The sequence below is a fragment of the Homo sapiens genome, chromosome 8 (assembly GCF_000001405.40).
Source record: "Homo sapiens chromosome 8, GRCh38.p14 Primary Assembly".
Classification (NCBI taxonomy): Eukaryota; Metazoa; Chordata; class Mammalia; order Primates; family Hominidae; genus Homo; species Homo sapiens.
Genome location: NC_000008.11, coordinates 39,047,976 through 39,063,702, shown reverse-complemented (window position 1 = coordinate 39,063,702; position 15,727 = coordinate 39,047,976). Strand labels below are relative to the sequence as shown.

Genomic DNA, 15,727 nt, shown 5'->3' with positions numbered 1-15,727 from the left:
TTGCCCAGGCTGGAGTGCAGTGGCACAATCTCAGCTAACTGCAACCTCCACCTCCCAAGTTCAAGCGATTCTCCTGCCTCAGCCTCCCAAGTAGCTGGGACTACAGGAGTGCACCACTATGCCTGGCTAATTTTTGTGTTTTTAATGGAGACAGGGTTTCGCCATGTTGGCCAGGCTGGTCTCAAACTCCTGACCTCAAGTGATCTGCCTGCCTCACCTCCCAAAGTGCTGGGATTACAGGCGCCTGGCTGAGCCTCTAAATTCTGATGAGTCGTCTTTGCCAGTGGAAACAGCGTCTCCAACATCTGAGGGGACTAACCCTGCATTGCCTGAGGAAACTGTAATAGCCTCCCTGGAGGCAGCTGCCATGCAAGATAATGCCAATTTCCCTCAGGATCCACCTCCAAAATATCTCATTGGTTCTAAACCTATAACTAGACTCAAGTCATAGAAAATGCCCCTAAAGGTGAAATACTAAATACAACCCATGAGGAGGTTCACCACACTCCAAGACTACTTGAGTTTTCTAATTTACACAGACAGAAATCCAGGGAACATGTGTGGGAATGGATATTAAGGGCGTGAGATAATGGTGGGAGGAACATAAAGTTGGATTGGGATGAATTCATTGGTGAGGACTCACGAAGCAGACAGTCTGCATTGAATGTTGCCATTCAGGGAGTTAGAAAGGTCTCTAACAGTTTGTTCGGTTGGTTGGCTGAAATGTGAATCAAAAGGCAGCTCACAGTGAGCAAGTCAGGAATGCAGGGCCTATCTCAGTTTAATGCAGAGAAAGGGATTCAAAGTCTGAGGGAGACTAAAATGTTTGAGTCGATTTGTCACTTAAGATGTATTTACCCACCCTGGAAGAATCCAGAAAACACACCTTTCACCAAGACTGTAAGAAATAAATTTGTAAGGGGAGGCCTAGCATCCTTGAAAAGCTCTGTGATCACTCTTATCTAAAGGGCAGACCTTATAGTAGGAGCTATGGCCACTGAGTTGGGAAACTTAAATGCAATGAAAGTATCAGATTCTAGGTGATAGGAAAGTGTCAACATTCAACCACCAAAGGCAAGGTGGGCATAATGGAGAGCCAAGGTTGGCATAATGGAGAGCCAAGGTTACCATAATGGAGAGCAGAGTCAAAGCAGCAATCAGAATAACCTGACCCATGTAAAAACTTACGGCATTGGCTAGTTGATCACACTGTTTCTGTCTAAGTAGAAGCAAGATAGGCAGCTTCCCATAGTCTTACTTGACCTGTACCAAATAAGAAAACTCTAGGCCAAGTAAACAAAAGTCTAATTTGAATCATAAAAACAGAAAGTCACAGCCTCTTAATCAATTCCTTGAGTTGAGCCAGTTTACAGAAACAGAAACTCTCAACTAAAGGCAGGGTAAGTTTCTTTAAGGAAGAACCCTCCCATACAATGCCAAAAATTTATACTATTAATCATTATCCCAGACATTTCCAAGGGACCTATGGCTTTTACCAGGGCAATGGTTATATACTGAACGTTTGTGTACCCCTTCAATGTTTGTGTATCCCATAATTCATCTGTTGAAGCCCTAACCCCAAAGTGATGGTATTTGGAGATGGGCCATTTGGGAGGTAATCAGAGTTAGGTGGGATCATGAGGATGGGACCCTTATGATGGGATTGGCGATCTTATAAGAAGAAAAGAGAGATCCCTCACCAAGAACCAAATTGACTGGCACTTTGATCTTAGACTCCCAGCCTCCAGAACTCTGAGAAATAAGTGTCTGCCATTTAAGCCACACAGTCTACAGTATATCTTGTTAGAGCAGCCAGATATGGTTTAAATGTCTGTCCCCTCTAAAATTCATGTTGAAATTTAATTACCATTGTGACAGCATTAAGAGGTGGGACCTTTAAGAGGTGATTAGTCCATGATGGCTCTGCCCTCTGGGATAAGATTAATATTGTTATAAAAGGGTGCGTTTGGCCCCACTTCGTCTCTTGCCCATCCACCTTCCGTCATGTGATGGCTCAGCAAAACGACCCTCATCAGATGGCAGCACCTTTATCTTGGACTTCCCAGCCTCCAGAAGCCAATAAATTTCTGTTCACTATTAATTACCCGGTCTGTGGCATTTTGTTATAATAGCACAAAATAGACTGAGACAGAATTGATCAGACTAAGACACTGTGCACTGAGAAAAAAATTCGACCTTTCAGGAACACAGAACCCTATATCTGAAATAATTGAGCAAACCCAAAATGTCACTGTGGTCAAGAAGTCAGAGTAGGGGCTTATGAAGGTCAGGTGATAGATGAAGTTTTACCTCAGGTCCATCTCACAGCAGGCCTAGTGGGTCCCTGAACCCACCTTGTGGGTTTTTTCCCACAATTCCAGAATGCATAATTGAAACAGACACACTCAACAGCTGGCAGAATTGCCACACTGGTTCCCTGACCTGTGGAGTGATGGTTATTATGGTAAGAAAGGCCAGGTGGAACCCACTAGAACTGCCTCTACCTAGGAAAATAGTAAGCCAAAAGCAATACCACATCTCTGGAGGGATTGCAGAGATTCGTGTCAACATCAAGGACTTGAAAGATGCAGGGGCAGGGACTCTCATCACATCTCCATTCAATTCACCTATTTGCCCTGTGCAGAAGACAGACAGATCTTGGAGAATGATAGTGGATTATTATAAGCTTAGCTAAGTGGTGACTCCAACTGAAGCTGCTATACCAAATGTATTTCATTGTTTGAGCAAATTAACACATCCCCTAATACATGGTATGCAGCTGTGATCTGAAAAAACCTTTACCTATACCCATCCACACAGCCTACCAGAAGCAGCTGCTTTCAGCTGGCAAGGCCAGCAATACACCTTCACTGTCCTACTTAGGAAGAATATCAACTCTGGAGCCCCATGTCATAATTTAGTTTTGGGGATCTTGATTACCTTTTCCTTCCACAAAATATCACACTAGTCATTGAAAACATTATGCTCATTAGACCTAGTGAGCAAGAAACAGCAACTATTCTTGTCACTGGCAAGATATTTGCACGACAAAAAGTAGAAAATAAATCTGACAAAAATTCAGGTGCCTTCTACCTCAGTGAAATTTCTACATGTCCAGTGGTGTGGGACATGTCAAGATATCCTTTCTAAGGGGAAGAAGAAGTTGCATCTGGCCACTCCCACAACCAACAGAATGGCACAATGTTTAGAGGTCCATTTGGATTTCTGAAGGCAAAATATTCCTCATTTGGTTGCATAACTCTGGCCCATTTACCCACTGACCCAAAGAGCTGCTAGTTTTGAGCTGGGCCCAGAACAAAGAGAAACTCTGCAATAGGTCCAGGCTGTCAGGCAAGATGCTCTGCTGCTTAGCCCACTTGATCAAGCAGATCAAACAGTGCTTGAAGCAGCAGTTACAGACAGAAATGCTGTTTAGCGCCTCCGACAGTTCCCTATAGGTCAGGTGCAGTGCAGGCATTTAGGATTTTGGAGCAAAGCCTTGTGATCCTCTGCGAATAACTACTCTCCTTTTGAGAAAAAACTATTGGCCTGCTACTGGGCCTTAAAGTAGAAATTGAACATTTAACCATGGGCCACCCACCAAGTTACCATTCAACCTGAGTTGCCCATGATAAACTGGATGTCATCTGACTCACCAAGCTATAAAGCTGGGCATATGCAGCAGCACCCCATCATGAAATGGAAGTGCTACGTATGTAATTGAGCCAAACCAAGGCCTGGAAGGCACAAGTTACATAAAGAAGTGCCCCACATGCCCCTGCTCCCCACTCCTGCTACACTACATTTTCTCTCCTAGCCAGCAACTATGACCTCACGGGGAACTTCCTACCCATCAGGTGACAGTAGAAAAGAAGACGGAGACCTGGTTTGCAGATGGTTCTACACATGATATGATATGAAGAACCAAAAGTGGATGACTGTAGCACTGCAGCCCCTTTCTGGGACATCCCTGAAGTGCACCTGGTTGTTCACTTTCCTTGGGAGAAGAAACAGCCAGACGTGATTATACACCAATTTATGGGCTATGGCCCATGACTGGGTTGTAGGGCAAAGATATTTGTGTCCCATGTGAATGTTCACCAAAGGGTGGCCTCAGTAGAGGAGAATTTTAATAATCAAGTAGATAGGATGACTCATTCTTTCCCCAGCCAACTATTCTCATCCATGGGCTCAGGAACCACGTACTCACAGTGGCAGGGTTGGAGGCGATGCGTGGGCTCAGCATCATGGACTTCCTCTCAACAACTGACCTGGCATTGTTGCTGCTAAGTGCCCAAATTCTCCAGTAGCAAAGTCCAATCCTGAGTCCCCAGTATGACACCATTCCCTAGGTTAGTCAGTCAGCTGCCTGGTGGCAGGTTGATTACATTTTTCCCTTTCCATGATGAAAGAAGCAGTGCTTTGTTCTTACTGGGACAGACACACGTACTCTTGATATAGATTTGCCATCTCTGTAGCAACACTCCTGTGAACTACCAAAACTACCTTCTGTGGACATACAGAATTCCTCCCCCACCATCATAATATTCTACACAGCACTGCTTCAAACCAAAGAATTCACTTGATAGCAAATGAAATGAGGCAATGGGCCCATGCACATGGAATTCACTGGCCTTACCATGTTCCTTCCCCACCATCCTGAAGCAGCTGGCTGACAGCATGGTGGAAATGCCTTTTGGAGACTCAGTTACAGTGCCACTAGGTAGCAATACCTTACAGTGCTGGGGCAAGGTTCTCCAAAAGGCTGTATATGCTCTCAATCAGCAGCCAACATCCAATGCTGATTTTCCCATAACCAGGATTCACGTGTCCAGGTATCAAGGGGTGGAAATGGGAGAAACACCACTCACCATTATCCATAGTGACCCACTAGCAAAATTTTGTTTCCTGTTCCCACGACCTTATGCTCTACTGGACTAGAGGCCTTAGTTCCAAAAGGAGGAATGCTGCCACCAGGAGCCACAATAATGATTCTACTGAACTAGAAATTAAGCCAGAGGCCCAGCCACATTGGCTCCTCATACCTCCAAGTCAACAGGCAAAGAAGGCAGTTTCTATGCCAGGTAGAATTACTGATCCGAACCACCAAAGGGAAACTGGCCTACTACTCCAAAATGGAGGCAAGGAAGAGTATGTCTAGAATGCCGGAGATCCCTTAGGGCATCTCTTAGTATTACCATGCTTCATGATTAAGTTTAAGTTCAATGGAAAACTTTAACAACCCAATCTAGGAAGGACTACAAATGGCCCAGACCCTTCAAGAACGACAGTTTGGGTCACCCTAACAGGTAAAGAACCACAAACAGCTAACGTGCTTGCTGAAGGCAAAGGGAATACAGAATGGGTGGAAGTTAGTTATAAATACCAGCTACAACCACATGACCAGTTGCAGAAACGAAGACTGTTTCATTAAGAATAGCTGCATGTGTGTATGTGTGTGTGCATTCACACACACGTACTGAGCAAATATGTTCTCATTCCTTATACCTTTATCATGCAGCATAAGACATATTGACTTGATATTATAGCATTTAAGTATTGTTAATTTTATATCCCAGTATTTAAGTTATGGGATATCAAGAAGAAGAATAAACATCACTTTACCTCCTTTTCTGGAAAAGAGGTTAGTGAGGTTTTAGTTGCATGCAGGATAGTGTTATTATATCATGCTAGGTGGAATTATGCCCTTAACAAGGTCCACATTTGGAGATTTGGTATGGTTTAAGGTGTCTATGGGTTTCAAGCTGACAAGGAGTGGATTTTTGATGAGGGTTAATTTTACCCTTTTTAGTAGAGTTAATTTGACTGAGCCACAGAATCCCCAGATATTTAATCAAACATAATTACGGATGTCTCTGTAAGGGTGATTTTGGATGAGATTAACATTGAAATCAGTAGGATGAGTAAAGCAGACTGCCCTCCCTATTGGAGGTGGGCCCCATCCAATCAATTTTAAACTTGAACGAAAAGGCCAGTCCTCCCTCAAGTAAGAGAAAAGTCTTCCTGAAGGCCTTTGGAATGAGACATCAGCTTTTTTCCTGCCTTTGGAATTGAACTGAAACACTAGCTCTTCCATGGTCATGAGCCTGCCAGACTTCTAACTGGAACTATACCATCAGCTCTACAGGGTCTCCAGATTGCTGACTCTCCCTGCAGATCTGACACTTAGCAGCTTCCACAATCACACAAGCCAATTCATATATGGGCTCATGCTATTACGCAGGATTTATTACATGAATCTAATATATCAGATTCCTCCAGGAGAATATATTTGATTTTCATGTAATACATATATAAGATATTATATATTTAATATATTATATGTAAATTATATATTATATATAAATATTAGATTCACGTAATAATTCCTCCAGATTATATATACAGTAATATCTACAGTAATGTGTCACTTAACAACAGGGATATGATCTGAGAAATGAGTTGTTAGGTGATTTTGTCATTGTGCAAACATCACAGAGTGCACTTAAACAAACCTAGGTGGTATAGCCTACTACACATCTAGGCTATGTGGTACAGCCTATTGCTCCTAAGCTACAAATCTGTACACCATGTCACTGTACTAAATACTGTAGGCAATGGTAACACAATGGCATCTAAACGTATCTAAACATAGAAAAGGTATCTAAACATATCTAAACATAGAAAAGTTACAGTAAAAATACAGCATTATAATTTTATGAGACCACTGTTGTATATGCAATCTCTCACTGACCAAAATGTTGTTATGCGGTATATGACTGTATACATAAACGCACAACACAATGGTTCCATTTCTCTAGAGAACCCTAACTAACTATACAGAGGGAAACCAGTCAAGACTGAAGAGGAACAGAGGCCTTCTGTTCAGACTTATTTGAACAAATTGAAATAAATAGAATACTTGATGCCACTAATCAACTCAAGGCACAATCAGGCCAATGGTTAACAATATACAGGTCAATTAATGGAAAGTACATAGGAAATTAACCAAACCAAAAGAGAGAGAGAGAAACAGAAAGACAGAATTAGTAACTCTAGAGAAATCAGGCAAGTAATTATAACTTACTATACAGTTTAGTTGTGAAGAGCATTAATGTGGCCATTATACAATACACAGTCATCACTGCCCTAACTATTGGGAGGATGAAGAATGGAAAATCAGCATAGGTATGATGGGAGTTGTTAAGGGTTGAAGGAAGAGAAGGAAAGAAAACTAACTCATCTTCTATAGTGAGAAATTAATAACTAATGCCTAGAACAAAAAAATCAAAACGTCGCATTGCCAAGAGATTATCTAAAAACCTAGCACAAGTTAACAAAAATCTTAGCCAAAAAAGGTAAAACTGCCTCAAGTGATGGGAATAGTGGGTGGGAACAGTCCTTATTTGTTCATACTATGCATTACACAATAATTTGGCTCTTTATATGTATGCCCTTGATAAAAATAAGAACTTTTAAAAGAAAAAATACATAAATTTTTTAAAAATCCCAAATATCTATCAGTAAGAGAATAACTAAATCATGATCCATTCATCTAATGGAATACTTTAATGTACTATAATATAAATATATCAATATAGATGAATTTCAAGAAAATTCTGAGTGAACAATGCAAATAGCAGATCCTTGTGCACAATTCAACATTATTAAAACTAGATACTATATATGTATCTGTGTGTGTGCGTGATACACAAAATATAAAAAGATATAGACAGTAAAAATAAGAAAACATCAACTGAATCTGTGCATATTAAATTCATGATCATGACTGCCTCCAAAGAAGAAAGGAAATACGATGAGAAACAAGAGAGCCTCAACTTTATCAATAATGTTTCATTACCTTTTTTAAAATATCTAAATCAAAAATAAATAATATCGAAGCAATCAATTATAAATGATGATATCTTACTTGAGCCAAAGATGACTTGACATTGAGCATCATAATACTGGCACATGCCGTTGTAGCAATAGGCTTTGTTATTCTGGCAAGGATATCCATTCTGAATAAAAACATCTGGCTGACAGAACTGAGAAGAACCATTGCAGTACTCTGGAACATCACACTCACTGGTTTTTCCTCGGCATAAAGTACCTCCTGGAAGGAACTAGTGAAATAGAATTCAAATTAAACAGAAATATCAGGATAATGTCCACAAATTAATCAAATGTGAAACCACAGCATTTACATCTATAAAGCATTCTAACAATAGCAAAAGATTAAATAACCCAACAGAAAAATGAACAATGGCTAACAACAGGTAATTCATGTAAGTCCTAACTATGGAAAGTAAAGAAACATGACCTCATTTGTAACCAAAAGAAATGCAAACTAAATAAAAATACAAGAACCCTTTACACCTATTGAATTAACTAGGAGTATAGTGCCTGCTAGTACCCAATATTGGCATAAGGAAACAAGTATTTGATAATACTGTTGGTAGAAGTATAGATTGGCATATGTGTGAAAGATATATAAAATGTATATCAAAAACTTAGTATGAATATTCTGCACCAGTGATTTCTCTTATAAGCAGTAACTGGAAGTAATCAAAATGTCCATCATTAGTTGACTAAAGAAATTATGGTACAACTATACAAGTAATATTACTTAAATAACCATGTATTATAGAACTACATGAATGGGAAAAAAGTCCATGGTGTCATATTGAAAAAAGCAGGTAGTAAAAATATATGTATCTGTGCTTACCCACTTAAAAACACACATACACACATACACTCACATTTGTATAGAAAAAACGTGATTATATTAACAAATTATCAACAGTGGTTACCTGAAGAGTATAAAATAATAGAGGATCTTTCATTCTCTACTTTCTATGGTTTCATGTTATTTAATTATTTCTAACAGGCATATGTTACTCTAAAAATCAGAAAAAAAATGTTTCTACTTAGAAAACAATATCAACAGACCACTTAACGTAAAAGAGTGTGCTTTAAAATTATACACAAGTGGCATAAAATTTTTCCCATGACCATAAAATAAAAATAGTGCTGACTCAGAAATCTCAAAAAACAAATTTTGATATACACAGGTTTTCTTTTTTTTTTTTTTTTTTTTCCTGTTTCCAAAAGGGAGGAATTCCTTACCCGACAGTCTTTACAACAGTCACCATATGCACACTCAGCAAATGATTTAAGCTTACAGGTACTTCCTTCGCAGCAAGGGTCCAATTCACATTCCTGTGAACATAAAATGACTGTCAATAAAGAAATTAGTAATTGACATGAATACTCATTAATAAAATTCTCATCTTACACCTAAAATCTACTTCATTCTAACATGATTGTAGCAGTTACCCTCCAGAAACAGTTGCTTACTGTTTCTGGATTTAACAATGTCTCTTCAGCTGCAAGTATAAGTCTCAACATATTTCAAAGGACAGAAATCATATAGTATGTGCCTTACTTAGTCTGCTCAGAATGCCATAACAAAATACCACAGGTTTAAACTGCAGAAATTTATTTTCTCACAGTTCTTGAGGCTAGAAATCCAAGATCAAGGTTCCTACTAGTTCAGTTTCTAGTGAGGATTCTCTTCCTGGCTTGCAGAGGGCTGCCTTCTTGCTGTGTGCTGACATAGCCCTTCCTCAGTGCATGTGTGCAGAGAGACGGCAAGTGAGATGTTTGGTGTCTCTTCTTACAAGGACACTGATCCTAGTGGATCAGGGCCCCATCCTTATGACCTCGTTTAACCTTAATTACTTCCTTAAAGGCCCCATCTCCAAATGTAGCCATGCTGGTGGCTGGCTCCAACACATGAGTTTTGGGGAAGCACAAACATTCAGTTCATAACAGTATGTTTGATGATCACAGAGAGGTCAGTGTCCATAAAGGCATTTATCTTCATGCTCAGGGTCTAACTTCTCTGTTGGATGGCTCTTCACCCTAGCTGAACACTCTTTTTTACCTTGCTTGGCTTCTCTCACTATACTCTGGGCCACCATGGCTCCTTCTTACCCCCAAACTCCCACCCACAGAGACATCTTCTCTGTTAAAATAGCAATGTCAATGTTCTGTTTTGTATTCTGTGGTACAGCTTTATAAGATGTCACCACTAAGGAAAACTGGGTGAAAAGTACACAGGACTCTATATTATTTTGCAACTTCTTTTCAGATTATAATTATTTCATAATAAACATTTTAAAATAAATGAACTTTAATGTACATCTTGAAATATACCCAAAAAAAGTCAAAATGCATCATGGAACTAAATGTAAAACCTAAAACTATAAAACTTCTAGGAGAAAACCTTTGCAACTGTGGAGCAGGCAAGAAGTCCTTAGATAGGACACCAAAAGAACAACCGATAAAATTACAAGTTTATAAAATAAACTTCATCAACATGAAAAAGTTCTGCTCTTCAAAATATACTGCTAAGTTAATTAAAGGCAAGCTACAACTTGGAAAAAATATTGACAATCTGATAGAGAACTTGTATACAGAATACACAAAGTATTCTCAAAACTCAACAATAAGTAATCAAAATTTTTAAATGAGGGAAAAGAGTTGAACAGTCATATCACCATAAGATAGCCTGATGGCAAAAAAGCACATGAAAACATGCTCAATGCATCATTAGTTACTAAGGAAATGCAAATTAAAACCTCAATGAGGCACCACCTCACACTCAATAGAATGGCTAAAATTAAAAACACTGACCACACGAAGTATTGGTCAGGATATGAAACAATTAGAACTCCCATACACTAAGGATGGAAATGAAAAATGGAACAATCACTTTAGAAAACAGTTTGAGAGTTTCTTGAAAAGTTAAATACCTCTACCATCTAACCAAGTCATTCTACTCCGGGACATTTACCCAACAGTATTAAAAACATAAGTTCACATAAAGATTTGAAGGTGAATGCTGGCCAGTTCAAAAACACTGCAGGACAGTTGGCTTCATGAAAGAATAGGGAATCAGGAAATAGATAATGTATATAGGAACTTAGGTTATCGTAAAAGAACCATTTTAAATGGTTCCACAACAACTGATCATTAGTGGATAAGTTTAATTTCCAAGCTTACTCCACATGCCCCCTCCTCAATTAAAAGAGTTAACATAAAAATTTTAAATTTAAAAAAAACTAAAATAATTTGTAGAGGGGCTATGATGATGATCTATATATAGGAATACTAAAAACCAGGTCAAGATACAAATTTCTGAAACCATTACAGGAAAAAAATTAGTAAGTTTGCCTTCATTTAAATTTTAAATTTCAACATAAAATGTAACCTATGAAAAGTTAAATAAGCTATAAATAAAGAATATTAGAACATATATAACAAAGGAGTTATGTCCATCTTATAGAAAGAGGTCTAAAAATCAATTTAAAAGAAGATTTAATGAACCAACAGAACTGATAAGGAATACATAAAATAATAATTCATAGAAGAAAATGATGCCTATAATCTACAATCACATGAAAAACTGTAAACTAAAACAGTATCTTCTTATTTTTTACCCATCAGCTTGCCAAAATTAAGAAAACATATTATCCTGTGCTGGTAAGACTATGGGTACACAATGGCATAATATACTGTTGTCAGAAATGCAAACTGACCCACACTATTTATAGGAAATTCATTAGCTTCTGATATAAGTTAAAATGTACATGCTTTTAGATACAATAATTCTACCTTTATGTACAATAACTATCATAGAAAAATATTTGTATATATACACGACGTGTGTATATCTGTATATATACACATGAGGTGTGTATGTTTGTATATATACACATGAGGTGTGTACAAGGATGTATACGGCAGCACTGTTTACAATAGAAAACACTAATTACAGTAATTAATGAGAGTATGGTTAAATAAATCATAGTAAATCCTTGTATTGGAATACTATTCAGCAAATTAAAGGGCTATGTCTACATAATAAAATGATACAGAAAAATGTCCAGGATATCGTAATAGAAAAAAATCTGCACACAAGAGATTTTAAGTCAATTTTAAACAATATTAAGTCTGATTTTATTTATGCACAAAAATAAAAGCCAGAGTGGCATCACCAAAATGGGAGAATAGAAAGCTCTGGATTCTCCTTCCTCCAACAGGCAGTGCTGCAATAAACATCCCTGTACACTCCCCATGTGTATATACACAAATATTTCTCTAAGATAGTTACATAAAGGTAGAATTACTAGATCTAAAAGCATGTACATTTTAACTTTTATTGGAGGCTAACAAATCTCCTATAAAAAGTCAGCAATTCAACAGTAACACACTAATCAATTCCCTTTGTGAGAAATCCAGAAACTAGTTGAGAGGCTACTACATCCCAGGCAATTGTAAAACCAGCCACACTGAAACCAGTAGGAAAACTGGAGATCCTTTCTCGCCGCAATCCCAACTCATGACGCGTCATATAAGATCAGGAGGAAACAGCTCTCAGCATCTCCCTGAGGAGAGAAAGAGTTGGGCCACACATCCAATATTACAGTTTTTTAGAGTGCTTCCTGAGGGACTACCTTCTATCTCATCTGCCTCTGACAACATATAGGACCTGGAATATATTAGATCCCTGGGGTTTTCAGAGAACAAAGGTAGTAGGTTAAACTAGCATGTGGGCACTTGCCACAGCTCCTAGCTTCTCCCAAAGGAGGACCACACATCCAACGCTACAATTTTTCTAGGAGCTACCCAAGAAATTGGCTTTTCCCTCTCCTCTCTCAGAGCACAGATGGAGCTGGTATGTGCTAGACCCCTGAAGGCTACAAAGAATGAAGGTGGTTGTTCAAACTATCACTCAGACACTCGCCACAGTTCCTCTACCCAGTTTAACATAGTGATTAAAAAAAAAAAAAAAAAAAAAAAAACACTTCCAAGCTTTTCCCTGGAAAGAGAAACTGTTGGACCACATGTCACATGTTCCAACTTTTCTAGGGATTGCCCAACAAATTCACTTCTTTCTCCCCTCTCAGAACACTGATAGGCTCCAGCATATTGTAGACACTGAGCGCTAACAACAATAGAAAAGGCAGTATAACAAACATGAAAGTTTGAGAGGCCCAAAAAAGCTCTGGCCAGGTTAACTAGTGAAGGTCTTCTCACTAATTTCGGGGCTGAAGAATACACCAACTTAATGGAAAAATGCAACAGAGGAGTTCAACAGCAGATCAGAGCAAACAGAATAAAGATTCAACAAACTCAAAGTCGGGTTACCTTATCAAGTCAGAGGAGCAAAAAAAAAAAAAGAAATATAAGTGAAGAAAGCTTAAGGGACTTATGAGACACCATCAAGAGACTAATATACACACTGTGGCAATCCCACAAGGAGCAGACTAAGAAAAAGTACCAAAAAGCTTATTTCAAAGAGGTAGTGGTTGAAATTTTCCCAAATCTGGGGAAGGAAATGGACGTCCAGATGCAGGAAGCCCAAAGAACCTTAAGTAAGAAGAATCTAAAGAAATCAACACCAAGAAACATTACAATCAAATTATCAAAAGACAAAGAGAATTTTGAAAGCAGTAAGAAAGAAAGCAATTCATCACATACAAGGGAACCCCCATCAGGCCATTAGTGGATTTTTCAGCAGAAATCTTGCAGGCCAGAAGGTTAATGAGGTGACATATTAAAGTAATGAAAGAAAAAAACTGCCAAGAAAGAATCCTATATCTGGCAAAACTATCCTTTAAAAATGAAGAAGACATTAAGACTTTTCTAGAAAAACAAAAGCAGGGAAGTTCATCATGATTAGACCTTTCTTCTAAGAAATGTGAAATGGAGTTCTGCACCTTGAAATGAAAGACTGCTAGACAGCAACACAGGAGCATAAGAAAGTATAAAATTAATTAGTAAGAATAAATATATAGACAAATGCAAAATACTGTGTTGCTGTTAATGGTACTGGGTAAATCACTTTCACTTCTAGTGTAAATTTAGAAGAAAAAGTATAAAATGTAACTATAGGCCGGGCGCAGTGGCTCACGCCTGTAATCCCAGCACTTTGGGAGGCCGAGGCAGGCAGATCACTTGAGGTCAGGAGTTCGAGACCAGCCTGGACAACATGGTAAAACCCCATCTCCACTAAAAATACAAAAATTAGCCAAGCGTGGTGGCAGGCACCTGTAGTCCCAGCTACTTGGGAGGCTGAGGCAGGAGAATCACTTGAACCCAGGAGGCGGAGGATACAGTGAGCCATCGCACCACTGCACTCCAGCCTGGACAACAAGAACAAAACTCCATCTCAAAAAAAAAAAAAAAAACTATAAAAAATATGTTGGAAGATACACAATATTAATAGATTGTAAACTGTAACAACAACATAAACTGTGTAATGGGAGAACTTAAAGTGAAGAGTTTTTGTATGTAATTGAGGTTAAGTTGTTATCAGCTTAAAAATACTGTTATTACTACAAGATATTTTATGCACGCTCTAAGGTAACCATAAACAAATACCTATAGAAGGAAGTTACACAAAAGAAAAAGGAATAGGGATAAAAGAATTATCAACACACACACAAAATCAAAAAATTACAAAGGAAAACAGCAAGAAAGGGCAGGCAAAAGAGCTACAAGACAAACAAAAAACATTTAAAACAATCACAGTAAATCCTTCCCTATCAAGAATTACTTTAAATGTAAATATGTTAAACTCCCCAACAAAAACACATAGCATACTGAATGGATAAAAAAAAAAAAAAAAAAACTATATGCTATCTACAAGAGACTCACTATAGTTCTAAGGACATATATAGGCTGAAAGTGAAGAATGGATAAAGATATTCCATGCAAATGGTAACCACAGAGAGCAGGGGTACCTATATTTGTATCAAAGAAAAGAGACTCTATGTCAGAATTGTCACAAAACACAAAGAAAAACATTTTATAATGATAAAAGTAACAATTCACTAGGAAGATATAACAATAATAAATATATATGCACCCAGCATTAGAGCACCTAAATATGTAATGCAAGCACTGACAAAACTGAAGAAAGAAAGAGACAGCAACACAATAATAGTAAGAAACTTCAAGACTGCATTTTAATTATGGATAAAACATCTAGATAGAAGATCAATACGGAAACACAGGACTTGAACAACACTACAGACCAAATCAAACTAATAGACATATACAGAACATTCTACCCAACAGTGGCAGAATACATACTATTCTCAGGCACACATGGAACTCTCTCCAGGCTCACATTTTAGGTCACAAAACAGGTCTTCAGAAATTTAAGAAGACTGAAATCATACCAAATATATTTTCTGACCAAAATGGATGAAACTAGCAATTAGAATAGAAAAAGACAACAATAAAAGCAGAAAGGAAAATGGAAAATTCACCAATATGTGGAAATTAAACAACACACTGTGGAACAACCATTGGGTCAAAAAGGAAATCAAACACAAGATTAAAAAATACTTTTGGACAAACAAAAAACACAATATGTAAAAACTTATGAAATAAAACAAAAATAATACTAAAAGGAGGACAGATGTGGTGGCTCACGCCTGTAATCCCAGACCAAGGCGGGTAGATCACCTGAGATCAGGAGATCGAGACCAGCCTGGCCAACATGGCGAAACCCCATCTCTACTAAAAATACAAAAATTAGCTAGGCATGGTGGTGCGCGCCTGTAATCCTAGCTACTGAGGAGGCTGAGGCACAAGAATCACTAGAAACCAGGAGGTGGAGGTTGCAATGAGCCAAGATTGCCCCACT

General features: G+C 38.2%; 1 protein-coding gene across 7 annotated transcripts in view; it reads right to left on the bottom strand.

Annotated features, from left to right (window-relative positions):
- Positions 1–15,727, bottom strand: part of ADAM9 (ADAM metallopeptidase domain 9) — a 108,289-nt gene that overhangs the window by 41,559 nt on the left and 51,003 nt on the right. For all 7 annotated transcript variants that reach the window (NR_027638.2, NR_027878.2, NR_027639.2 and 4 more), the window contains exons 13-14: positions 9,130–9,222; positions 7,931–8,126 (exon numbers count right to left, since the gene is read on the bottom strand). Coding sequence is in view for 3 of the 7 variants with exons in the window: in NM_003816.3 (NP_003807.1) it covers positions 7,931–8,126; positions 9,130–9,222 (289 nt within the window). In the remaining 4 variants the exon portion in view is untranslated. The remainder of the gene's footprint in view (positions 1–7,930; positions 8,127–9,129; positions 9,223–15,727) is intronic.